The sequence below is a fragment of the Homo sapiens genome, chromosome 5 (assembly GCF_000001405.40).
Source record: "Homo sapiens chromosome 5, GRCh38.p14 Primary Assembly".
In the NCBI taxonomy this organism is placed as follows: domain Eukaryota; kingdom Metazoa; phylum Chordata; class Mammalia; order Primates; family Hominidae; genus Homo; species Homo sapiens.
Window position 1 is genome coordinate 32358278 of NC_000005.10, and position 25529 is coordinate 32383806.

The following is a 25529-nucleotide window of genomic DNA, read 5'->3' on the forward strand; positions in this document are numbered from 1 at the left end:
ACCCGGGAGGCACAGGTTGCAGTGAGCCAAAATTGTGCCATTGCAATCCAGCCTGGGTGACAGAGAGAGACTGTCTCAAAAAATAAAAAAAGAAAATTTAAGGCCGGGCGCGGTGGCGCAAGCCTGTAATCCTAGCACTTTGGGAGGCCTAGACTGGCGCATCACGAGGTCAGGAGATCCAGACCATCCTGGCTAACACGGTGAAACCCCGTCTCTACTAAAAATACAAAAAATTAGCCGGGCTTGGTGGCGGGTGCCTATAGTCCCAGCTACTCGGGAGGCAGAGGCAGAATGGCATGAACCCCGGAGGCGGCTGCACTCCAGCCTGGGCGACACGGCGAGACTCCGTCTCAAAGAAAAAAAAAAATTTAAATCAATTTTTAAAGTTCTATCCTCTTCTCCCTCTGAAATTTTAATTAACTTTTTTTTTAAATTAAAAAAAAAAGGGGAGGGGGGAAGTTCAGACCAAATGTTAATTAATCGTCTTGGCTGAAGGGCATATCGAACTATCAGCAGAACTGAGAGCCAAAAAGAGCCTACTGTTTTCCAAGATAAGGGAAGGGAAGGCAAACTTTGGCACTGAATCATATCATCTTATCTTGTGCTTTTACTTCATTTTTCTTTTATTAAAATTTATTAAAATCTATTAAAATTCTAAAGCTTAGCCGGGCATGGTGGCTAAGCACTTTGGGAGGTGGAGGTGGGAAGATCACTTGAGCCCAGCCTGGGAAACATAAGGAGACCCTGTCTCTACAAATAATTAGCTGGGCATGGTGTCGCACATCTGTGGTTCCAACTACTTGCAAGGCTAAGGCAGGATTGTGTGAGACGGGGAGGTTGAGGCTGCAGTGGGCCCAGATGGTGCCACTGCACTCCAGCCTGTGTGACAGTGAAACCGTCTCAAAAAAACAAAAAAATAAAACCAAAAAACCCCTAAAGCAAGTCTGTCCAATCCGTGGCCCTCAGTGTTGAATGTGGCCCAATACAAATTCATAAACTTTCTTAAAACATTATGAGATTTTTTTGCGATTTTTTTTTTTCTTTTTAGCCCATCAACTATCATTAGTGTCAGTGTATTTTATGCATGGCCCAACACAATTCTTCTTTCAATGTGGCCCAGGGAAGCCAAAAGACTGGATACCCCTGCCCTAAAGCTTAAAGATATGCTAATATCTATTTAATGGGTTGTTTACTTTCAGCCAGAAGAATGTGGCATTCACTGTGCAATCTTAAAAATGTACTGATACTGTAGCTGGTTTTCAATGAGTCTAAGTTGCTCCCTAACAGCAGCCAATGCCAAAAGATTCCTTCCTTAGAACACAAAAAAATGTGCATCAGTATAGAAACATTGTGTATGACTGAAATCACTATGATTAGGAAAGAAAATCCTTGACCGGGTGCGGTGGCTCACGCCTGTAATCCCAGCACTTTGGGAGACCAAGGTGGGTGGACCACGAGGTCAGGAGTTCGACACCAGCCTGGCCAACATGGTGAAACCCCGTCTCTACTAAAAATACAAAAAGTAGCCGGGGGGTGGTGGCACATGCCTGTAATCCCAGCTACTCAGGAGGCTGAGGCAGGAAAATCGCTTGAACTCAGGAGGCGGAGGTGAGCTGAGATTGCGCCTTTGCACTCCAGCCTGGGTGACAGAGCGAGACTCCGTCTTAAGGAAAAAAAAAAAAAAAGAAAGAAAAATTCCTTGTTACTTCATGAATAAAAATAAACTTTCACTACATGACCATGTGTATGTAAGAATATCTTTGGCACCAATTTCAAAAGATTTCTTAAAATCTTGAAACTAGGGGGACTTCAGAGACATGATTTAATCTATCCCTCCATTTCTAGGGATATACCCACTTAACCTAATTCAAGGAAATTTTACAGTCACTTGATTAAACAGCAACTTTCTCTACATAGTTATAGCCTTCAATGTAACTGGACTCTTTTTCTGGTAAAATTCACATACCTTTAAAATATACACCTTTAAAATGTAAAATTCAGAAGTTTTCAGAATACTTACAAAGTTACTCAACTATCACTATTATCTTATCCTAGAACATTTTCATTACCCTAAGTGGAAACCCCAAGCCCAACAGCAGTTACTCCCCAACCCCTCTATCCTTAGGCCCTGAGAACTACCACTGCCTATTATGAATATTTCATATAAACGAGATAATTAGGATAAAGTTTTTAAGGTTCATTCACATCATAGCATGTGTCAGTACTTTCTTTTAATGTCTGGCTGAATAATATTCTAACGTATGACTGTATTTGTTTATTCACCCATTCATCAATTGATGGACATTTAGGTTGTTGCTACTTTTTGACTATCACACATAATGCTGTTTTGAATATTTGTGTACAAGTTTTTGTGGGGACATATTTTTTTCAATTCTCTTAAGTATATATCTAGATATCAAAGAGTTGCTGAGGCATACAGCAATCCATGTTTAACTTACTGAGGAGCTGCTAACCTGTTTCTCTTTTCCTTTTTTTAAGCGATGAGGTCTTGCTATGTTGCTCAAACTGGTAATGCACTCCTGGGCTCAAGAGATCCTCCCACCTCGGCCTCGCAAACTGTTCGGATTACAGGCATGAGCCATTGCTCACTGAACCCTCAACTTCCTGGGCTTAAGTGATCCTCCCACCTCAAGCCACCTGAGTAGCTGCGATTACAGGTGCACGCCACCATGCCCAGAGCTAATTAAAAAAATTTTTTATAGAGATAAGGTTATGCTATGTTGCCAGGTCGTTCTTGAACTCATGGGCTCAACCAATCCTCTTGCCTCAGCCTCCCAAAGTCTTGAGATTACAGGCGTGAGCCACTGTGCCTGGCTCTAACCTGTTTTTCAAAGTGACTGCTGTTCACACTATTTTAAATCCCTGCTCTGATTTTGAGATAAAGGATAGTTACTGGTTTAGTCATCCACATGGGAATTTATTGCTCCAAAACTTTTCCCCCAAGTTAGATAATTCTAGTTGCTAAGAATTTTGGCTCATACACCTGCTTTGAAAATCCTGAAAGTCTCAAAGTCATCTGTAGTCAGGACTTGATACAGCATTCTACTTCATCTACAATTATTAGGGACTTTTGCCAGTACCGTTTCTCTACTTCACTTAAGTTATAAGACTGTTAACTTCCCAGGTGAGAACTAGGAAGATTTATCATCATAATATACTAATTCTTTATTCAGAGAGACTTATAAAAGGTCCTTCCTAAAGATAACATAATAGTGTTTTCTTCTACATTAACAGAAAATATCAAAAGATATCTCATATATAATAATGAATATTTATACATTTTTACCACAGAGATATTCTTACTAAGCATCAGCCTATTCTTTTTTTTTTTTTTTTTTGAGATGGAGTCTCACTCTGTTGCCCAGGCTAGAGTGCAATGGTGCGATTTCGGCTCACTGCAACCTGTGCCTCCTGGGTTTAAGCGATTCTCGTGCCTTAGTCTCCCAAGTAGCCTGGACTACAGGCACTCACATGCCACCACGCCCGGCTAATTCTTTTATTTTTAGTAGACACAGGGTTTTGCCACGTTGGTCTCAAACTCCTGACCTCAGGTGGCCCGCCCGCCTTGACCTCCTTAAGTGCTGGGATTACAGGTGGAAGCCACTGCACCCGGCCCAGCCTATGCTAATATTTTATGAGTTTCTAAATGAAGGAATACTCCAGTAAGTAAAACCAATATAGCATTTGAGGTTTGAGTGAGCACCCTATAATCTCTTGTTCTGCATGTGGTTTGTAGGTACTTCTAAGGTCTGACAAGAAGAGAAAATTCTACCATATTACTGGCAATTATTTAGCAGCAAACTAAATTTGAAGATTGATACAAATCATTCCCAAAGACATTTTGGAATTTTAATCATCATCGAGGATTAAAGGTTTATTTTATAATCCATTTGCTTCTTGGGAAGGGATGATTAACCCTATAAATTTTGCCTGTTTATTAAAGGTATGTTAAACTATGTACGCCTACCTATAGGAAGGAATTTTAATAAATGACAAAGGCTGTATCTGGCAGAAGCAACTTGAAAAGGATCACTGGAGAAAAGACATATAGTGGCATACAAGAATAAAGGTAGACACTGTGGAAGGAAATATGGAATCATTCCAGAGACAAAGGAAGGAAGAGGGACATTAACATGGGCGCTACAGGCCACCGAAAAACTAACCGAAATTGACACTGGTACTTCAGATTTCACCAGTTATATATGCACTAATTTATGTGTGCATGTGTGTATAGCTCTATGCAATTTTATCACACATGCCGCCTTATGTCATGTAACTACCATCACAATCAAGATGGGTAACTGTTCTGTTGCCAAAAGACCCCCTTTAGAGCCATGCCATTCCTTCTTCCTATCCTTAAACACTCCTAGGAAACACTAATCTGTTTTCCTCCTCATCCAAGTATTACGTCATGAGTGCTACATAAATGCATTGTATATTGTGTAACTCGTTCACTTTTATTAAGAACACTTCTAAATGTTCTCCTAAACGTCCTCTTAAAACCAGACCACTTTCTTTAAGGTCACATTTTTAGAAAAGTAAGCATTCTTCTTAATGATGAATTTTGTTAGTTTTCAAGTGTTTCCTTTTGAATTTCTTTTCCCTTAAATTTATAACTAATTCCTTTAAGTACTAAAGGGAGAAAGAACAGACACTTAAGGCAACTATCTTCTTCCCTAGAATATAAAATGAAAGAAATAAAAACAGCGAATGCATAAGAATTTGGTCATATTTTGAGTCTGTAAGATATCCATAATATTCTATTACTACTCTCTCTCCCCCAATACCATTTCTGGCCTAACAATTTACTTTGATCCTGACATCTTTCAAATTCCAAATTATTCAAGATAACCAATCAAGATCTTAAATCCAACAACTCCCAAGCATCTTAGAGTGAATTACTGTTCATAGCTAGTATGCTTTTTTCCCCTACTCAGCACATTTCTGGAATCAACAAAGGGAAGCTGTACCAATCTTAGGTTGATTTTTTTCCATTCATTCATTAGGTTCAATGTTTTTTCTTTTTCATAATTATTCAATAGGGTTAATAAGATGATAATACTAGCTAACATTTAAGATCCTTCCATATACCAGGTGTTAAGATGGTTACACATATTAACTCATTTAATCTTCTCAACAATCCTGTTTGAGACAGATACTGCTTTTATATCCATATTACAGATGAGATGGCAGAGTTGGTAGTCAAATCCAGGGAGTCTGTCTCCAGAGCCCACATTTTTATTTACTTTATTTGACAGTGGCAGGAAAGGTTAAATTATAACAATAATGACCATAAACACCACAGCAAATTACTTTTGTACAACCAGAGGACATAAGAATTTCTGCTGATCTTGATACATAACCTATTACCCAGATTTAATGAGACACTGAAAATATTGCTGTATTTTTATAATATACAATACACTTACTTAGAAATGCCCATATAATTAAATAATAAAATTTTAAACTCTATTAGTGAAATCTAGTTTTGGGCAAGCTATTTTAATATCCTTTCTAGGGGCTTGCTTACTACAGAAGCAGAAGAACGAATATTATATAGTGACTTATAATATTCCTTAAGACAATAACAGAAAAATAAAACCTTAATGGAGTAACCCAATAGGGCTCTGAATTTAGGAATACCAGTACCTGTGCACTGGATGTGATGTCTTCACGCTGCTGGTCAGTCATTGTTGCCAAGGTATCAAAGGGATCCTTTTCACAAGGATCCAGAAGTCCAGGACTACCTACAGCAATCACCACAGGGAGAGGAAATTATTAGCATTGTCCACTTATAAAAAAAATTATTCAACCAGCAAATGAGTAAACTTCATTTTACTTCATTAAAAACAAAGTAAGAGTTACCTTTAAGAATAATCCCTGAAGAAATGCATTCAAAAACTCTTCTCAGTGCATCCCCAGGGCTCTGAGGGCTAGAAGCACTGCTGATTGCTTTCTCTACTAGTAACTCCATAGCCTAAAAATACAACATAAAAATGTGTTTAACAGCTTACCAAAGGAATTACTCATTTTCAAACTAAAATTTTAAAGACTGAAAAAATTTTAAAGACTGAAAAAGCTACATAGAACAAGTCACAAAAACAGAAAATAAATATTACATATAATATAAAAACATTCAAAATTAAGGAATAGGCCGGGCACAGTGGCTCACGTCTGTAATCCAAACACTTTGGGAGGCAGATTGCCTGAGTTCAGGGGTTAAAGACCAGCCTGGGCAAGATGGCAAAACCCCGTCTCTACAAAAAAAACCCCAAAAAACCAAAAATTAGCTGGATGTGGTGGCACATGCTGGTGGCCCCAGCTACTTGGGGGACTGAGGCGGGAGGATCGCTTGAGCCTGGGATCGTTTACTGGCTGCAGTAAGCTGAGATTGCGCCATTGCACTCTAGCACCCTGAGTGATGGAGTGAGACCATCTTTCTTCACAAACAAAAAAACAAAAAAAACAAAACAAAAACCCAATGCAGGGAGTGGTGTTTTGAAGGGTCTCATGATAAAAATTTGTATTTAGATTTTTAAAAATTGAGATATAATTCACATGTAAGATTCACCCTTTTAAACTGTACAATTCAGTAGTTTTTAGTATATTCACAAAGTTGTTCAATAATCACCATTACCTAATTCCAGAACATTTTCATGATCTCCAAAAGAAACCACATAGCCACTAGTAGTCATTCTCCATTCTCCCTTTCTTTTAGCCCTTGGCAACCCCTAAATCACTTCCAGTTTCTACAGATTTGCCTACTATGGACGTTTTATACAAATGGAATCATGTAATACGTGGCTCTGTGTTTGACTTCTCTCACTTAGCATAATATTTAAGGCTTATCCATGTTGTAGCTTTTACTTAAAAGTTTAAATGAGACTACCAACAGCAATTCAAAGAAACTAGTTTGGAACCACTATGAAATCCTTAAGATGATAATGAAAGCTGAAAAGACATTAGTGAGAATCCATACTTTTGGCTATACACTAAAAAAGCTCATGGACTTATTTATCAGAAGTAAAAACTGCGTCAACCTATTCACTCCAAGGCCATTTCTCAGAATCTCTTTACATTTTAAGAGATGAGAATTTAAAGAAATAGCGCACATTAACAACTATGAAAAATAAATGATAGCTTCCAGCACGATTGGAAAAAACCTGAAAATAATGAATATTAATAGTGATAAATGTAAGTCACAATTAAAAAAATTAAGACAGCTCAGTTTATTCCGTTGAAGAATGCAGGAAGATGTTCAAGATTCTTTTTTATTTTGAGAAAGGGTCTTGTTCTGTCACCCAGGCTAGAATGCAGTGGCATGACCATGGCTCACTGCAGCCTCAAGCTCTTGGGCTCAAGTGATCCTCCCACCTCAGCTCAGGATCACTTGAGCCCAAGAGCTTGAGGTTGCAGTGAGCTGTGGTCGTGCCGCTGTACGACTGGGACAACAGGCGCAGCCACCATGCCTGGCTAATTTTTGTAGAGATGGGGTCTCACTATGCTGTCCAGGCTGGTTTTGAACTCCTGGACTCATGTAAACCAACTGCCTTGGCCTCCCAAAGCCTTGGGATTACAGGCATCACAGCAACAGCCCCTCAAGACATTTTTCATTTTTTACGGATTTTCATTTTAAAGTTAAGTTTTAATATTTTAAGGGACAAGCTTCAGTCATCTAGAAAACTCTATGTGTATGTATGGAATATGCATGTGTATGGAATATTTTAAGATGCGAAAAGACTTGAGACCCTTGAGGATAAGGTCAGTGTTACTCATCTTGAACCCACTTGCCTAGTACAAGTAGCCAGAATTTTGTAAATACTTAGTAAATGATGACATGGAATGATTTTGGAAAGAATGTGAGAATAATCCTGACAATTCAGTGATAAAATAAACCAAGAGTAATAATTAGCAAAATATTGATGTTGTGATTAAAACACAAAATTGAAGTCATAAAATACGTAACTTTCGATAAATGCCTCAAATTTTTACTGAGTACTTTTAGCAAATGTTATGAGAAAAGTGAGCATTAAGTAATCAGCTACAGTTCAGGTACGTCAAGACATAAAAATGTGTTTCAAGTAACTCAAAGCTTTTTCAAAATCTGTTTATTGATTGGCTTTAAGAATCAGGCATTTCTGATTTATACCAGCAGGTAAAAGCAGAAATTAATTAAAAGTCAAGAAAGAAATCAATTATTTATGGAACACAAAAAAGTCAATACACTTAAACACACACAATAAAACTAATCAACTACCTCTGACACCATTTACTGTGAACTAAGCAATTAAAACATATTAATTTTCTAAAGAACATAGCTATTCTCCAAGCACATGTCTACAGTTAAAAGAGCAATGAAAATAGAAGAATATAATTCAAAAGTAAAAAGATAATATCAAAAATAAATAGAATCAAATTAAGGATTACAACACTTCAGGTTTTGATGTAAAGGGTCTTGGAGGCTATAATTATATAAGAGAATAACTTATTAAGAATTATTATAACTGGAGATGGAAAAAGCTCCCCATATTAAATGATTAAAAAAATCAAGGATTGTAATATTTGCTTTAAAAGATTTTTTAATTTTTTTTTTTTTTTTTACAGACAGGCCCTCGCTATGTTGCCAGGATGGAGTGCAGTAGTTATTCGCAGGCACGATCATAGCACACTGCAGCCGAGCTTGAACTCCTGGGCTCAAGTAATCATACCTCAGTTTCCCCAGTAGCTGAGACTACAAGTGAATGCCACTGCACTCCACTGTAATATTTGCTTTTTATTTATTTTTTGAGAGACAGGGTCTTGCTCTGTTTCCTAGACTGGAAAGCAGTGGTGTGATTATAACTGACTGTAGCAGGCTGGGTGTGGTGGTTCACGTCTGTAATCCCAGCACTTTGGGAGGTCAAGGTGGGTGGATCACCTGACGTGAGGAGTTTGAGACCAGCCTGCCCAACATGGCGAAATCCTGTCTCTACCAAAAACACAAAAAATTAGCCGGGTGTGGTGGCAGGTGCCTGTAATCTCAGCTACTCAGGAGGCTGAGGCAGGAGAATCACTTGAACCTGGGAGGCGGAGGTTGCGGTGAGCTGAGATCACGCCACTGCACTCCAGCCTGGGCGACAAGAGTGAAACTCCATCTCAAAAATAATAAATAAATAAATAAATAAAGTAAATAAATAAATAAATAAATAAATAACTCACTGTAGCCTTGACCTCCCAGGCTCAAGTGATTGACCTCAGCCTCCTGAGTAGCTGGCACTACAGAACCCACTACCATGCTTGGCTAATTTTTATTTTTAGTAGAGATGAGGTCTTGCTATGTTGCCTGAGCTGGTCTTGAACTCCTGGGCTCAAGTGATCTTTCCATCTTCGTGTCCCAAAGTGATGAGATTACAGGCCAAAGTGATGAGATTACAGGCGTGAGCCACTGGACCCAGCCTTATTTGCTTTTTAAAAACACTCATGAAGTGTATTTTTTCCCATCCCATCTCCAGTTATAATAAGAGTAACTCTTAGTAAGTGGCAGGCACCATGCTAAATGATCACTTATATGCATAATTTAATTCAAGATGGAAAAAAAATCCCATAAATTTAAGAAGCTAAAAATAGTTTTGTCCAAGGTCATGTAGCTAGGTGATAAAGCTGAGATTTGAACCCAGGTCTTTCTGAAATCAAAATAATGCTTTTTTTTTTCTTCTTTCCCTTATGTTTTCTTTCCTACTATGTTTCAATAAGTATCTTTCATCAATGGGTGATCCAGAGAGAAAACATTAACTAGTTTCCATGAATATTAGTTTCTAGCTCTGGTAGAGACAAAGACCTATGTAAAACAAATAAAACAAAGCCACCTGATGAGATTTCAGTAACACAGGCACTTTCACTGGTGGGAGTGTAAACCAGTAAAATCTTCCTTTAAAGCACAAATGGCAAACTGCATCAAAACTTTTTTCCCCCCCCAACAAGAGACGGAGTTTCACTCTTGTTGTCCAGGCTGCAATGGCGTGATCTCAGCTCACCGCAACCTCCACCTCCCAGGTTCAAGCGGTTCTCTTGCCTCCGCCTCCCAAGTAGCTGGGATTATGGGCATGAGCCACCACGCCCAGCTAATTTTGTATTTTTAGTAGAGATGGGAGTTTCTCCATATCGGTCAGGCTGGTCTTGAACTCTTGACCTCAGGTAATCTGCCCATCTCAGCCTCCCAAAGTGCTAAGATTACAGGTGTGAGCCATTGCACCTGGCCACAAATTTTTAAAAGACACACATTAATTAGCCCAGCAATGGCAGTACTAAGATTTACAATAGGGCTATTACTACATAAGAAAAGCACAAAAAATATTCTGCCCAGCTCTTAATTTGTAACAGACTGGAAACAATCTCTAGCACTAGGAGTTCTGGCTAAATAACAGTAGTAGCAGTTATCCTCTTCATTATAGCTACCACTTACTGAGTGCTTATCCTCGCTAAGTGATGCTCTAAGTCTTCACATATATTAACCAATTCTAACCATTATAATCACATTCTGAAGGTAGATATGACTATCATTCCCATTTTACAAATTAAGATGTTTATGCTCTTAAAATAGGATTTTATGAATACCACAACAATGGGCAATTGTACATACAAAAGCCACTTACATAGTCCAGTTGACATGGATCACTATTGACACATGCACAACAGACTTTGATTTGTAAGCCCATTTGCAGGTTGTTGCATTTTTGTAATATATTTACTCACAGCACTTTATTTTATATGGTGAAATGTATGAAAGTCTTAATAAAAATGGTCATGTCTTGCAGGGAAAAGATTTACTTACAGCTTTTAGTGATTTAGGGGTGTGCATACAGTTAAATAGATGATTTTTGTTAAGGGGTATCTAAATGTTGAGTTAGTTCATGTACCGTTTGCTGTTTTTTTTGTAAGCTGAGACTGTTTGTTCTTTGCCCTGAGATGTCAGTGTCCTATCATTTTAGAACTCTTTGTTGGTTCTATCAGCAACAGCCGGGAGAACTTTTAGTACAAACCACCACCACTAAAATCTGTATTACTTACAAATACCTCTGAAAGCCAGTAAAATACGTGAAAAGAAATGTTAACGTATTTCAACTGTTATTTGGGCAGGAAGAATAATTATAGCAGTTTTCTTCACCTTTCTTTGAGAATGATTCCTTTACATTTGATATATCATTCTTTAAAACAAAACAAAACAAAACAAAACAAAACAAAAAACTGGTCAGGAATGGTGGCTCACGCCTATAATCCCAGCACTTCTGGAGGCCAAGTTGGGAGGATCCCTTGGATCCAGGAGTTTCAGACCAGGCTGGGCAAGATAGTGAGACCTTATCTCTACAAAAAATTAAAAAAAAAAATGTAACCAGGCATGGTAGCATGCACCTACAGTCCTATGTACGTGGGAGGCTGAGTTAGGAGAATCGCTTAAGCCTGGGAAGTCGAGGCTGCAGTGAGTCATGATCATGCCACTGCACTCCAGCCCGAGTGACAGAGTGAAACTCTGTCTTAAAAAAGATAACATGAAACATTTTAAAACGAATGATTCAGCAGCATTATTATACTATGTTGTCCATATCAAGTTCCAAAACATCTCCATTACCGCAAAGTAAACCCCCTTACCCATTAAGCAACTTATCCCTATTTCCATAGAGACATGCACTCTGTCTCTATGGATTTATATATTCTTGATATTTCATATAAATGGAATCACACAACATGTGACCTTTTGAGCCTGGATTCTTGCACTTAGCATACTGTTTTCAACATTAATCAATACAGTGGCAGATTTTTTTTTTTTTTTTTTTTTTGAGATAGGGTCTCACGATGTGCCCAGGCTGGCCTCAAAATCCTGGGCTCAAGAGATCCTCTTGCCTCAGTCTCTTGAGTACCTGGGACTACAGGAATGGGCCACTGTGCCCAGCACAATAACAGATTTTTTTGCTGAAATACTCATCATAGGACACTGTCTAGAAATAAAATATATAATAACATTGTGTGTTGTGGGGGGAGAGAGAGAGAGAGAGAGAGAGAGAGAGAGAGAGAGAGAGAGACAGACAGACAGACAGGCAGGCAGACAGACAGACAGACAGACATGGTCTTGCCCTGTCGCCCAGGGTGAAGTGCAGTGGTGCAATCACAGCTCACTGCAGCCTCAACCTCCTGGGCTCAAGTGATTCTCTGACCTCAGCCTCCTGAGTAGCTGGGACTACAGGTGTGCGCCATCTCATCCAGCTAATTTTTAAGTTTGTCTTTTGTAGACATAGGGTCTTGCTATACAAATAAGGCTGGTTTTGAACTCCTGGCCTCAAGTGACCTTCCCACCTTGGCTTCCTAAAGTGCTGGGATTACAGGTAGGAGCCATTGTGCTAGGTCTATAATAAACATTAAAAAAATTACATGCCTTTTATAAGTTACTGCAGTTATACTATTCTAAAGGTTTAGATAGCACACAGCAATTCTGATATCAGACCAACATTACAACAGAACTCTACCTATATTTTATTTCATCACCATGGATTCATGACAGAAGAACAACTAATTTGAAGGCAGAACACCATTTTCAATCCTCATTGCAGTGGCAAAGGAAAGGCCACAAAAGCAGGCATTGTTACTTAAGGATTTGTTCAAAGTAATCTGAATGCTAAATAAAATTAAACATAATACAGTTCATAAGAATTTCAAATTTATTTGATAACAGAAAAAAAGTTACTCCTGTTTATGACAATAGCACAGACAGAAACTGAAGATCTCTTGCCTCCAAAACATGATTAAGAAATATATTAGGGCCAGGCATGTTGGCTCATGCCTATAATCCCAGCACTTCGGAAGACCGTGGCAAGAGGATCGCTTGAGCCCAGGAGTTCGAGACCAGCTGGGGCAACATAGTGAGATCTCATCTCTATTAAAAATAAAGACATTAGTCAGGTATGGTGGCATGTGCCTATCATCACAGGCACTAGGAAGGTTCAGGCAGAAGGAATGCTTGAGCCCAGGAGTTCAAAGCTGCAGTGAGCCAGGGCTGCTCCATCGCCCTCCAGTTTAGATGACAGAGCAGGACCCTGTCTCAAAAACAAATGATAGAATATACACACTACTGCATTTCAGGAAAAAATGTAATAGCTTGAATCAAACAGAGGAAAAGGCCAGTGACAGAGAACATTCCTTAAGAACAGAGTGTTTACCCTGCTTAAGCTTGGCTCTCCAGAGATGAGGGTGGGGATGACAGCTGATTCAACAAATCCCAAAAACTTCACCAATAACTTTCAATTTGGAGAAAGGTAAAATGAATCACATTATAAGCAGTTTCAGAAGAAATTTTCCTAAACGTAAAAACTCCATCTGACCATCTTCTATCTCACCAGAAAAAAGAAAAACACTAGAATTTGCTATCCTGAAGACTTTGAAAACCAGGAAAGAACAGAAGCAATCAGGAAATCAGGAAAGAGCAGAAAAATGGTAATCATTCACATCTAACTATTTCCAATAATAAATGCATTTGGCTAAAATGCAGATAAAAGAAAAAATAAAGGTAAGATCTTCCAAAGGAATTAGAGGTAGGGAAAAAAAAAAAAACTTCATAGAGCCCCAAATTAGCTTCACATACCCAAATGCTCTCTTGGTTCAGGGGAATATAAATTGTTAGTGAAAGGAAATGGTAAAATAGGTTCAGGAAACAAATGGAGCAAATCCTGCAAAGACAAAAGCTCTAGGAGTCCATTCTTGGATTGAAACCTGAAACTGAAGGGGTGGCAATAAAATCCATCACATTTGGAGTGCCATAGTATATTTGATGAAGACACAGGAGAGTGTAGCCTACATTTGCTAACAAGGCTGCAGGTAGCCAAATCCTACTCCTTTTCATAAGCAATCCTCCAATCATATCTCACAGGGGAAGGAAAAGAAGAGTTATCAAAAAAGGTGAGAATAGATTTGCATGACATCTTTGTACTTGTGTGGAACATAGCATGAAAACTAGTGATAAAAATATATTCTGTAGGGACTTTGGGTGATAGTCACAGGTCAATGTAGGTTCATTAATTGTAACAAACATACTACTCTAGTGTCGGGGAGGCTGTGTATGTGTGAGGGCAGGGGATATGTGGGAACTCTATATGGTTGACCCTTGAAAAACGTGAGTTTGAACTGCACAGATCCACTTATATGGGAGTTATCTTCCATCTCTGCCACCAGAGACAGCAACATCAATCTTCCTTCCTCACCCTTAGCCTATTCAATAAGAAGCTGAGGGCTGGGCACAGTGGCTCACACCTACAATCCAAGCACTTTGGGAGGCCGAGGGGAGCAGATCACTTGAGGCCAAGAGCTCGAGACTAACCTGGCCAACATGGTGAAACTCCGTCTCTACTAAAAATACAAAAATTATCCAGACATGGTGGCGCGCGCGCTTGTAATCCCAGTTACTTGAAAGGCTGAGGCAGGAAAATCTCTTGAACCCAGGAGGTGGAGGTTACAGTGAGTTGAGATCACACCACTGCACTCTAGTCTGGGCGACACAGCAAGACTTGGTCTCAAAAAAACAAACAAAACAAACAAAAAAAGGAACAAAATGACTGAAGTTAAAAAATTAAGAGGTATACATTATACCTTGTTGAGAGCAGATCTCTTCTTTTAAATAACCATAGTTAATAAAAATTGAACATATATTAGGCAACAAAAAAACCCTTTAAATTCCAAAAATTGCAAATAGCAGACTACATTTTTCGAATCACGATGCCATAAAAACTAAATTATTATTTACCAAAACAAAAGTAACCCTCCTTCAACTGTGCAGAATATAAAAATTCCCTTGGCTGGGTGCCGTGGCTCACGCCTGTAATCCCAGCACTTTGGGAGGCTGAGGCAGGTGGATCATGAGATGAGGAGTTCAAGACCAGCCTGGCCAACATGGTGAAAACCCATCTCTACTAAAAATACAAAAATTAGTCAGGCGTGGTGGTGCATGCCTGTAATCCCAGCTACTCAGGATGCTAACACAGGAGAATTGCTTGAACCTGGGAGGTGGAGGTTGCAGTGACCCCAGGTTGAGCCACTGCACTCCAGCATGGGTGACAGAGCAACACTCTGTCTCGGGGAAAGGGTGGGGAAATAAAATTCCCTCAAAACTACTGTTGGTTTAAAGATAGTATGAAAACAAATTACAAAGCATTACCTATGCAGCCAAAACTCTTGTGTTCGTCTTTAAACTGCAGCTTTAAAACCTCTGTAACTACAGAATAAATCAATGAATCAAGCATCTAACTCAAGAAATTTGTAAAATAATAACAGAAAACCCCAAGGAAAATAAATATAGAAAGGTAAAATCATAAGGTAATAAGTTATTAATGAGGATTACAATAGAGCTGATTTTGAAGAGACAAAAAAGCAATAAAACAGATAAACCACTGCCTGAAGAATACAATACTAGGAGCGAATTTTAAATGTCAAAATACTGACATTTTGGTGTTTTTTTTTAAAGTACCAAAATACTAATGTATTTGTTGTTATATGTAAATGATTTCAAAGATCAGCCAGCAGCTTTTTTCACTTTTGACTTTCTTCACAATCATTTTCCCTGCCATGGCCAATGCTCCTTCAATTCCTTTGACCTGTGCATTCTCTTTTCTTCTCAGTTCTTACGGCTCTCTACCCTCAAAGAAGAACACACCCTGTGAAGTGCATGGGTGACTCTCTCAAAGAAGGCCTGGGTAGGACCAATCTGCAGTGCTGAAAATCCAGACTGCAAGAGTGGCCCAGATGCAGTGGTCTTGAGAGTCTATTCATACAAGTAACAACGTGGACTTACTACAACAGAGATAGCTTCAAGGACACCCTGGGTGGGTAGAGGGGACCAAAGTTTAAGAAAGCAGGAAGCAGGATCATGATGTACAATGCTTGTATTTCCATACATTTTTAAAATTTGGGACAGGCACGGTGGCTCACGCCTGTAATCCCAGCAACTTGTGAGGCCAAGGTGGGCGGATCACTTGAGGTCAGGAGTTCTAGACTACCCTGGCCAACATGATGAAACTCTGTCTCTACTAAAAATACAATCAGCCAGGCGTGGTGGTGCATGCCTGTAATCCTAGCTACTCGGGAGGCTGAGGCAGGAGAATCGCTTGAACCTGGGAGATGGAGGTTGCAGTGAGCCAAGAAAGCACTGCTGCACTCCAGGCTGGGGTACAGAGCGAGACTCCATTTCAAAAATAAATAATTAAATAAATAAATAAATAAATAAAATTTGAAGCTATACAATGCCTACAAATTATTGTATTTAAAATCTATTAAGAATCTAATAAATTCCAAACACCTAAATACTGAAACACCCACATTATTATTTTGCTCCCATCTGGCAAATACTTTACTGGCTAGTCTAATCAATGACACAAGGAAGAATTAAAAGCAAACAAACAAACAAACAAGCAAAAAAAAATCCTAAAATAGCATAACTCTATTGAATGGGTTGATTTTTTTAAAGGAAATATAAATTGCCAAAATTAACCACCAGAGAGAGACTAATTACAATAGGAGAAATTGAGAAAACACTATTCCCTTAAAAGGAATTGGGAAGTGATGATGTCACATAAATTTTTATAAACTGACAAGAAACAAAGTTTTGATGCTACTAAAACTGCTTCAGAGTTTAAACAAAGAAAAGCTTCCAAATTATTTTTACAGAGTTAGTGATCACTGCTTCTAAATTTGACAAAGAGCACAGAAACAAAACATAAAAAATTTGTTTCACGTCACTGAGAAATTCTTAAACAAACTATTGGCAAGCAGAACTTAAGAGTTCATTACAACACTATTCTCATATGTATGAAGAATCATTCCCAGAATGCAAAGGTAGCTCAAAATGAAGAAATCTATTTACACAGTATTAAAAGGTTGAAGGAGAAAAACTATACATTCATGTTAATAAGACTTAAAAAATTGATGAAAGTTCAACTTCCGTTACTGATTCAAAAATTACTTAAACTGGAAAAAGATTGATAATTCAACATGACAAGTAAATATCTCAAATAAAAGGCTATATACCGTCATGCTTAATACAGTTTATAGACCAGAAACATTTTTAATACAATCAGTAACGTATCATACATGTCAAGCAGTATTTCTTTTATTCCGTATTTGTTACTCTAGAATTATCTTTTAATTAAAATAGAAAAACAAGTATTGGAAAGAAGGCAAAATATCATTTGTAGATATGTCTCAAAGAAAAAAAAAGAGATAAGGTCTCATTCTGTCACCCAGGCTGGAGTGCCATGGCACAATCATGGCTCACTGTAGACTTGACCTGGGCTCAATAGATCTTCCCACTTCAGTCTCTCCAGTAGCTGAAACCACAAGCACATGCCACCATGCCGGGCTAATTTTTCTATCTTTTCTAGAGAAAGGGTTTCACCATGTTGCCCAAGCTGGTCTCCAACTCCGGGACTCAAGCGATCCTCCTGCCTCGGGCCTCTCAAATAATGGGATTACAGGCATGAGCCACTAGACCATGACCGGTTGATCTTTCATCTATCGATTTATAGTTTTTAAATTAGTTTTTTTTTTTTTTGAGACGGAGTCTCACTATGTCGCCCAGGCTGGAGTACAGTGGCACGATCTCGGCTCACTGCAACCTCCGCCCTGAGTTCAAGTGATTCTCCTGCCTCAGCCTCCCGAGTAGCTGGGATTATAGGCGTCTGCCACCAAGCCTGGCTAATTTTTTGTGTTTTTAGTAGAGATGGGGTTTCACCACCTTGGCCAGGCTGGTCTTGAACTCCTTGACCTTGTGATCCACCCGCCTCGGCCTCCTAAAGTGCTGGGATTACAGGCATGAGCCACCATGCCCAGTTTTAAATTAGTTTTTAAGTAATGCACATGTATAATTTATCCTGGTAAAAATTAAACATTACAGGTCTCTATACTAGTCATCTCTTCCTCTCACTCCTCAGAAATAATCACTACTGTAAATTAGAATATATCCTACCAAAAATTTTGTTATGTATTTAAATTTACATATACATATCTATAGAAAATAAAATTCGATGAAAAAAAAGCTCTAAAACAAAGGAGATGTGCCAGGCACAGTGGCTCATGCCTATAATCCCAGCATTTTGGGAGGCCAAGGCGGGTGGATCACAAGGTCAGGAGTTTGAAACCAGCTTGGCCAATATGGTGAAACCCCGTTTCTACTAAAATATACAAAAATTAGCCAGGTGTGGTGGCGCATGCCTGTAGTGTGTAGTGAGCTGAGATAGCCGTACTGTACTACAGCTGCCACTGCACTCCAGCCTGGGCGACAGAGCGAGACTCTGTGTCAAAAAAAAAGAAAAAAAAAAGAAAGCAGGTGTGAACTAATTTGTCAAAATACAAAATCCAGAAATGATAAAAAAAATTAATGAATCAAAATTTAATGCCAGGTACAGTGGGGCTCAGGCCTATAATCCCAGCAGTTTGGGAGGCCAAGGAGGGCAGATCACCCAAGGTTAGCAGTTTGAGACCAACATGATGAAACCCCATCTCTACCAAAAATACAAATTATTAGCAGGGCGTGGTGGCCCCTGCCTGTAATCCCAGCTACTTGGAAAACGGAGGCAGGAGAATCGCTTGAACCCGGGAGGCAAAGGCTGCAGTGAGCTGAGATCATGCCACTACACTCCAGCCTGGGCGACAAGCTGTCTGAAAAAAAACCCCTGTCTCTACTAAAAATACAAAAAATTTAGCCGGGCGTGGTGGCAGGCGCCTGTAGTCCCAGCTACTCGGAGGCTGAGGAAGGAGAATGGCAAGAACCTGGGAGGCGGAGCTTGCAGTGAGCCAAGATCGTGCCACTGCACTCCAGCCTGGGCAACAGAGCAAGACTCCATCTGAAAAAAAAAAAAAAAAAAAAAAAAAGTGGTAACTTTCCTTCTCTTTCTTTATTTCTCTTTCTCTCTCTCTCTCTCTCTCCTCTCTCTCTTTCTTTCGAGACAGAATCTTGCTCTGTTGCCAGGCTGGAGTGCAGTGGCGTGATCTCGGCTCACTGCAACCTCTGCCTCCCAGGTTCAAGCGATTCTCCTGCCTCAGCCTCCTGAGTAGCTGGGATTACAGGTGTGCATGTTGGTCAGGGCAGTCTTGATCTTCTGACCTTGTGATCCACCCGCCTCGGCCTCCCAAAGTGCTGGAATTACAGGCGTGAGCCACCGTGCCCGGCAAAATGTGGTAACTTTCATATAGCAAAAATCATCATAAAGCTGAAAAGTAGATGAAAAACTGGAGAACACAATTTCCAACACAGGTAAAGGCCAATTATTGTAAAAAGAATTACTATAATAAAATGATGAATAAGAAACTGGCAGTTAAGAAAAAAACAATTACAAATGCCAACCATTATGCAATTAAAGAAATACAAAAAATTAGATAGCATATATATATATTTTTGAGATGAAGTCTCACTCTGTCACCCAGACTAGAGATAGTGGCACAATCTCGGCTCACTGCAACCTCCACCTCCCGGGTTCAAGTGATTCTCCTCTCCTGCCTCAGCCTCCCGAGTAGCTTGGATTACAGGTGCCCGCCACCATGCCCAGCTAATTGTTGTATTATTAGTAGAGACGAGGTTTCACTATGTTGGCCAGGCTGGTCTCGAACTCCTGACCTCAGTGATCCGCCCGCCTCGGCCTCCCAAAGTGTTGGGATTACAGGCATGAGCCACTGTGCTTGGCGAATACCATATTTTGCCTATCATATTGTTAACTATTAAGAAGTGTGATAATATCCCAGAACTATGACAGTGTAAAGAATATAATTAGTCTAATAGTTTTTTTGAAATTTTCAATGACCCAACCTTCTGGTGAACAATTAGTACATGTTCTTTAACCTTGATATTTCAGCCCTAGCAATTTATTCCGCCCTCAAAAGCTTGACAACAATATATACAATGAGGTATAATAAGGATTTAATAGCAAAAGATTGTAAACCTAAATGTCTATCAAATGAATGTAAGTTAAATAAAATACGGCATGTCCATAGAAAGAATGCAGATGTGACTGCCTTTTCAAAGAACTCTAAGATGAGATTTGTTAAGAAAGTTTTAAATTGTACAGTTTTAAACTGTGATAGCAAGGCCATGCTTTTGTTAAAAAAGATTAAAAAAAAAGAACTAAGGTAATCTTGCCTATTAACTCTCATTAATTAAACTCTGGAGTCAATAGGTTGTTTTATTTTTTGATGAATCCCTGTCTATCTGAATCCTTGCTCTTCAGGAATCAAAGTTTCAAACAGTAATGTACATAAAGATAGAAACATATACTGTATATAGGTATAATTTTTTTCTCCTAGAAGAAATCACAGCAGATTGTTAAGATAATCTGCCTTTAAATAAGAAGGCTTTTGGTTATTTTGTAGCTTTCTGCGTTACTGAATCTCCTATTTTTTTTGTATTATTTTTGAATAATATGTATTTCTGAATTTTTACAGTTCCCAACCACATACATTATTTTAAAAAATGTCCCTGCATAAGGAGATTAACAGTTCTTCAAAGTCTTCTTTATACATTTGTATATTATATGTAAAAGCCAACTAATAAATGCTGTAATATTAAAAAAAAAACACTGTGAAAACAGCAAAAAGAAAAAAACACACAAAGAGAAACATCAATGAAAATTCTTTAATTAGTCACATCTGAGAAAATTAAACATTCTAAGACTCCCCCAGGATTTTTCATCAGAAAAGAAAAACTATATTTAGTAAATGCAAATAAGGCTGATAATTACATGTAAACTGAGAGGATAAAAGCTGCAGAATTATTTCCTACATGTTTTTACACCATACAGTTACGTACTACTTACCCAGCTTGGAAAATCAGACCAAGTTGGAACTCGCTGACAGAGGTCTCGAAGAATGCGTATGATAATCACACAGGACTGCAGACCATTAGCTCTAGCCTTGAGAGCAACATAAAAACCAATTGAATTAATCTTAGAAATACTGAATATATCCCTTGATGAAAAAAAGTTAAAATACCACCGTTCAATGGAAGCTCAGATAAAAACAAAAACAATCACACTTAAAATTGGATTCAATGAGCTGCCATTTACAGCAGTATTTTATGCCAGGGTTAGTATTTAAAAGCTGGTATTTAGGTCAAAGTAAACAGATTATACAAGAATAATATTTCTTGATCCCCTGTGAACCTTGACCTGTGTTCATTTAAAACAGTAAACTTAAAAAAAAAAAGTCTGCCTACATTAGAAATAAAAGAAAAAGTAAAGAGCTAAAAAGTTTGTCTAGGGACTGAAAGGTTAAGGAAATCTGTTTGGTTTCCCTTCTGTGCCTTTGCATGACTGCAAAGTCACTAAACCAAACAGCTGCTTCCTCACCTTTCACTCCCTACACTTATTAACTTAGAGAAAGAGGGGGAAAAAAATCTTAAAACTATACACAAAGCTTTAAACACATATTCCATTATTTAAAGCAAAGTTAATCTGCAGCCTTATGGAATATAATATATATACACAAACATGTGATGTTCCTAAACAAGTCAACTTTAAATATAGCCACTAAAAATAAAAAATAAAAAAACCCCAACTACAAAACACTCCCCAAACCTAAGTTCATTGTCAAATTAATAATAACTGCAATATGCAGATCATCATACCCAGCTTTCTATGTTAACATATTTTCTGATATTTAATTTAAAATAGTATTGCTTGGGCAGTCTTTTGAAATGTTTAAGCACAGTTAAACATGTTGTACTGAACTACTTCTCTCATAAGGCTACAAGAAAAAAGTAAAATGATGTTCCGAACCTGGAACCACTTAGCGTGGCGTAGAGCAGCCAGAGCGTCAAGGCATTTTTGCCTGTCCAAGACGTCCGGTGGGTCTTTCACCATACCCGAGGTTACATCTAAAATGGATTGAATTGGCAAAATGCAGTGAGGAATGGGTGTTTGACCAGGTGAGCAAGACACTTCCTTAAGGTAGCATCAGTGTCACATGAGCCATTTGAGAGCTTGTTGGCACTTTAATATATCCACGGAGTTATTTTCAATAAATTTACATAATCCAATATGAGGAACAAAAGGTTAACTTATTAATTTAGTAATATAATAAACAATTTCTGGAAATATAAACCCTACCCACCAAAACGAAATCCGAAGGAAAGATTACTGGACACAGTGCACTAGCACAAAGACAACAAGACAAGAGGGAACACAAAAATCCACCTTAATGAGTATGTACAATAAACTACTGAGTTTGTTCAGTACTCTAAATGGTCGTAAGTTATTCTGGAGCTAATATAACAAAGAACTGATGATAAATATAGAATGCTCAATATAGTTACAGTTATAGGAAAAAAATGAAGAACCCAAAACAGGCATTTCTTTTTTTTTTTTTTTTTTTTTTGAGACGGAGTGTCACTCTGTCCCCCAGGCTGGAGTGCACGATCTCAGATCACTGCAACCTCGGCCTCCTGGGTTCAAGCGATTCTCCTGTCTCAGCCTCCCAAGTAGCTGGGATTACAGGTGTGCACCACCACACCAGGCTAATTTTTTGTATTTTTAGTAGAGACGAAGTTTCACCATGTTGGCCAGGCTGGTTTTTAACTCCTGACCTCAAGTGATACACCCGCCTCGGCCTCCCAAAGTGCTAGGATTACAGGCGTGAGCCACTGCGCCCGGCCCAAAACAGGCATTTCTAAAAGTTTAATGCTCTCCCTTCCGCATGAAAATTTTAGTTATCAGAGAGTATGAAATGCCCTTTAAAATTTAAAGTTCCCATAAAGTATTTCAAAAAATGATAAAAGAGAAACAATAGGCAAGCAGAACAGCGAATAGGAACTAGTATGGTTAAACAGAATTAAGAGTGGAAAAGATGCTGATCCTGTGACGATAGATGTGTAGGGTCTTTAAGCTGATTAAAACATAAATGAGCTACACAAAACTTGAGAATATATGAAACTAAACCAGGACAAGAAGTTAACTTTACATTAATATATCATTCATAAAAGTAGACAAAGGGCTATCTTTATATCCATCTAAACATCTGTAAAATGTGTATATTAACAGCAAATCTGCTAATCAAGCTATTAGTAAGCAAATGGCAATTATTCCAATCTAATTCACAGCTCTCAGTGATTTAAATAGTATGAATATTTTCTCAATATAGAAAAATTATATAATCTATTAAATATAATAGTCCTTTGGAAATTATGGGGCATTTAGAATACAGTTTAATAATCGAATATATAAAATGAATATGGACGAAAAAATACATGATAAAAGTATGAAAAAGTTAATTATCTTAAGAGTACTAGCTGCAGTTCTGGTCAAGTTACTCATATCTCATAAGCATTCAGATATCTTAAAGGATAACTTGTTCTTATTTTGAGTAGATGACATATAAAAAACATATTTTGAAACTGATAGAGAATTCTATTCTCTAAGGTTTCTTTTTCTTAGTTTTTTACTCCTCGAGTAATCAGATGGACACAGATTCTTCAGAAGACACATTTAGAGGAAAGACAGATAATCAAGGAAAACTGTGTGACATTTTGAGAATAAATACTAAAAGAGGAATTTGGTGCTAAAAAGAAGTTATCAAGACAAAAATATTAGTTCTCTCAAAACTTATAAGACCAACTATTGAACCTAGAAATAACCTGAACATAAGAAATGAACTATTCTGTCAGGAATAGATAAAGAAAAGGGACACAAGAGACAGCTAACTATGAAGTTTTAAAAAAGAAAAAAGGGCCAGGTGCAGTGGCTCATGCCTGTAATCCTAGCACTTTGGGAGGCTGAGGCAGGTGGATCATCTGAGGTAGGGAGTTCGAGACCAGCCCGGCCAACATGGTGAAACTCCATTCCTACTCAAAAATACAAAAATTAGCTGGGTGTCGTGGCACATGCCTGTGGTCCCAGCTCCTCAGCTACTTGGGAGGCTGAGGCATGAGAATTGCTTGAACCTGGGAGGTGGAGGTTGCAGTGAGCCGAGATTGTGCTGCTGCACTCCAGCCTGGGTGACAGAGTGACTGTCTCAAAAACAAAGCAAAACAAAACCAAACCCCTCACACACACAAAAAAGAAAAAGCTGACTTCCCCAAAGCAGTATTATAACATGCTAAAGAACCTCTTTCTATGTCCCTTATTTACTTACATTTGCTAAAGCTAGAATGCAAATAGGTGACAATGTGCAATCTCTAAAATGTTTCTAAATTTCTAATGTTAATTCACAATTTTATTTCCTCCGATATGCAAGAAAATTTTGTTTTGCACATAAGCATTCATAACTTTGGAAATTGTAATTCATGATATAAATTCAAAGATGCCAAGACACCTATTGCAATTTTTTTTTCTTTGAGATGGAGTTTCACTCTTGTCGCCCAGGCCAGAGTGCAATGGCATGATCTCGGCTCACTGCAACCTACACCTTCTGGGTTCAAGCAATTCTCCTGCCTCAGCCTCCCAAGTAGCTGGGATTATAGGCACTCACCACCACGCCCAGCTAATACCTATTGCAATTTAAAAACAAATTACAGCTATAAGTAGAAAATTTTTGTTAAATTTAGTGTGGATTTTTGTACCCATTTTCTATTTCAAGTAGATTAACCCCTTATATTCTGCTAAAATCATACTTGTTGCCTAACACCCAGTTAACAAAGCAAAAAAAAATCAGTTAATTTATAAAAACAAAATGCTAATTCTTATTCTATGTGAATGTATTTCATAGATTTTAAGGGGTTAATCACCAATTAGAAGACATGCTGTGTCCACACTATTTTAAGATTAAACGTTAATGGGAATATATTAATTCAAATTAACATGGTCATGTAAAATATATAACCCACTCAACCATTTAAAAACTAGTGTGAACACTGCTCAATTCTAGAAGAGACAAAGACAAAACAAACAAAACAGCCACACAAAGGACAATAAATGCCAGGCTCTGCATCCAAAATCCCTCCTTTATCAAATGGCAGATGTGACACTGAGCTTTTGAAAACCTTGGTCAAAAATCCTTCCGATGTCTTGGCAGCAACCCCTGACAGGATCAATCCCCTCTGCTAGAAGGCTTTGGACCGGGCCTGATAAGCTACAGGTGGGAAAAAACACACAAAATACTTAACTTGCTGCAGAAAAGATTCTGTAGCAAGGGTTAGAGCATTCTGAACATTTCAAGCTTAAAGTCAATTAAATGTTTACTTAATGTTTAACTGTCAAACACAGTATCATAAAACAGATCTGTCATGTGTTTAACAGTTATTTGGACAATGTAATCATTTCCTTTATTAATTAATTTTTGGTATTAAAAAGGACCATTATGCATTAAAGAGACTACCACACAATGCGCAAGTAGTAACTCTCATGATTTACAATTGTTCTTCCGGCAAAGCCTTCCTTAACCCCTGTACTAACTCCCCAAAGCAAGCTATAGGCTTTAAATGATTTTAAGACACAGAGCACTGGGAGCTGCAGTGAGAGAGAATACATACCGTTATTCTGCAGCAAGAAAGAAGCAATCTTCATAATGAAGCTAAA

At 38.2% G+C, this 25529-nt stretch overlaps 1 protein-coding gene across 2 annotated transcripts in view, besides 2 other annotated features; it reads right to left on the reverse strand.

The window, feature by feature from the left end:
* ZFR (zinc finger RNA binding protein) overlaps positions 1 to 25529 on the reverse strand; it is a 90391-nt gene that overhangs the window by 3928 nt on the left and 60934 nt on the right. The window contains exons 16-19 of one of the 2 annotated variants that reach the window (NM_016107.5): positions 21798 to 21895; positions 20838 to 20933; positions 5887 to 5998; positions 5671 to 5768 (exon numbers count right to left, since the gene is read on the reverse strand). In NM_016107.5, coding sequence (NP_057191.2) covers positions 5671 to 5768; positions 5887 to 5998; positions 20838 to 20933; positions 21798 to 21895 — 404 coding nt within the window. The remainder of the gene's footprint in view (positions 1 to 5670; positions 5769 to 5886; positions 5999 to 20837; positions 20934 to 21797; positions 21896 to 25529) is intronic. The other variant, NR_144318.2, reaches the window with a different exon arrangement.
* Positions 14463 to 14666: a silencer, noted in NCBI's record as "fragment chr5:32372846-32373049 (GRCh37/hg19 assembly coordinates)". NCBI's record gives its function as "represses an EF-1alpha promoter that drives an FKBP-Casp9 reporter gene in an ReSE screen in phorbol 12-myristate 13-acetate-treated (for megakaryocytic differentiation) K562 erythroleukemia cells {active_cell/tissue: K562(+PMA)}" and the evidence as "EXISTENCE:reporter gene assay evidence [ECO:0000049][PMID:32094911]".
* Positions 17788 to 18005: a silencer, noted in NCBI's record as "fragment chr5:32376171-32376388 (GRCh37/hg19 assembly coordinates)". NCBI's record gives its function as "represses an EF-1alpha promoter that drives an FKBP-Casp9 reporter gene in an ReSE screen in K562 erythroleukemia cells {active_cell/tissue: K562}" and the evidence as "EXISTENCE:reporter gene assay evidence [ECO:0000049][PMID:32094911]".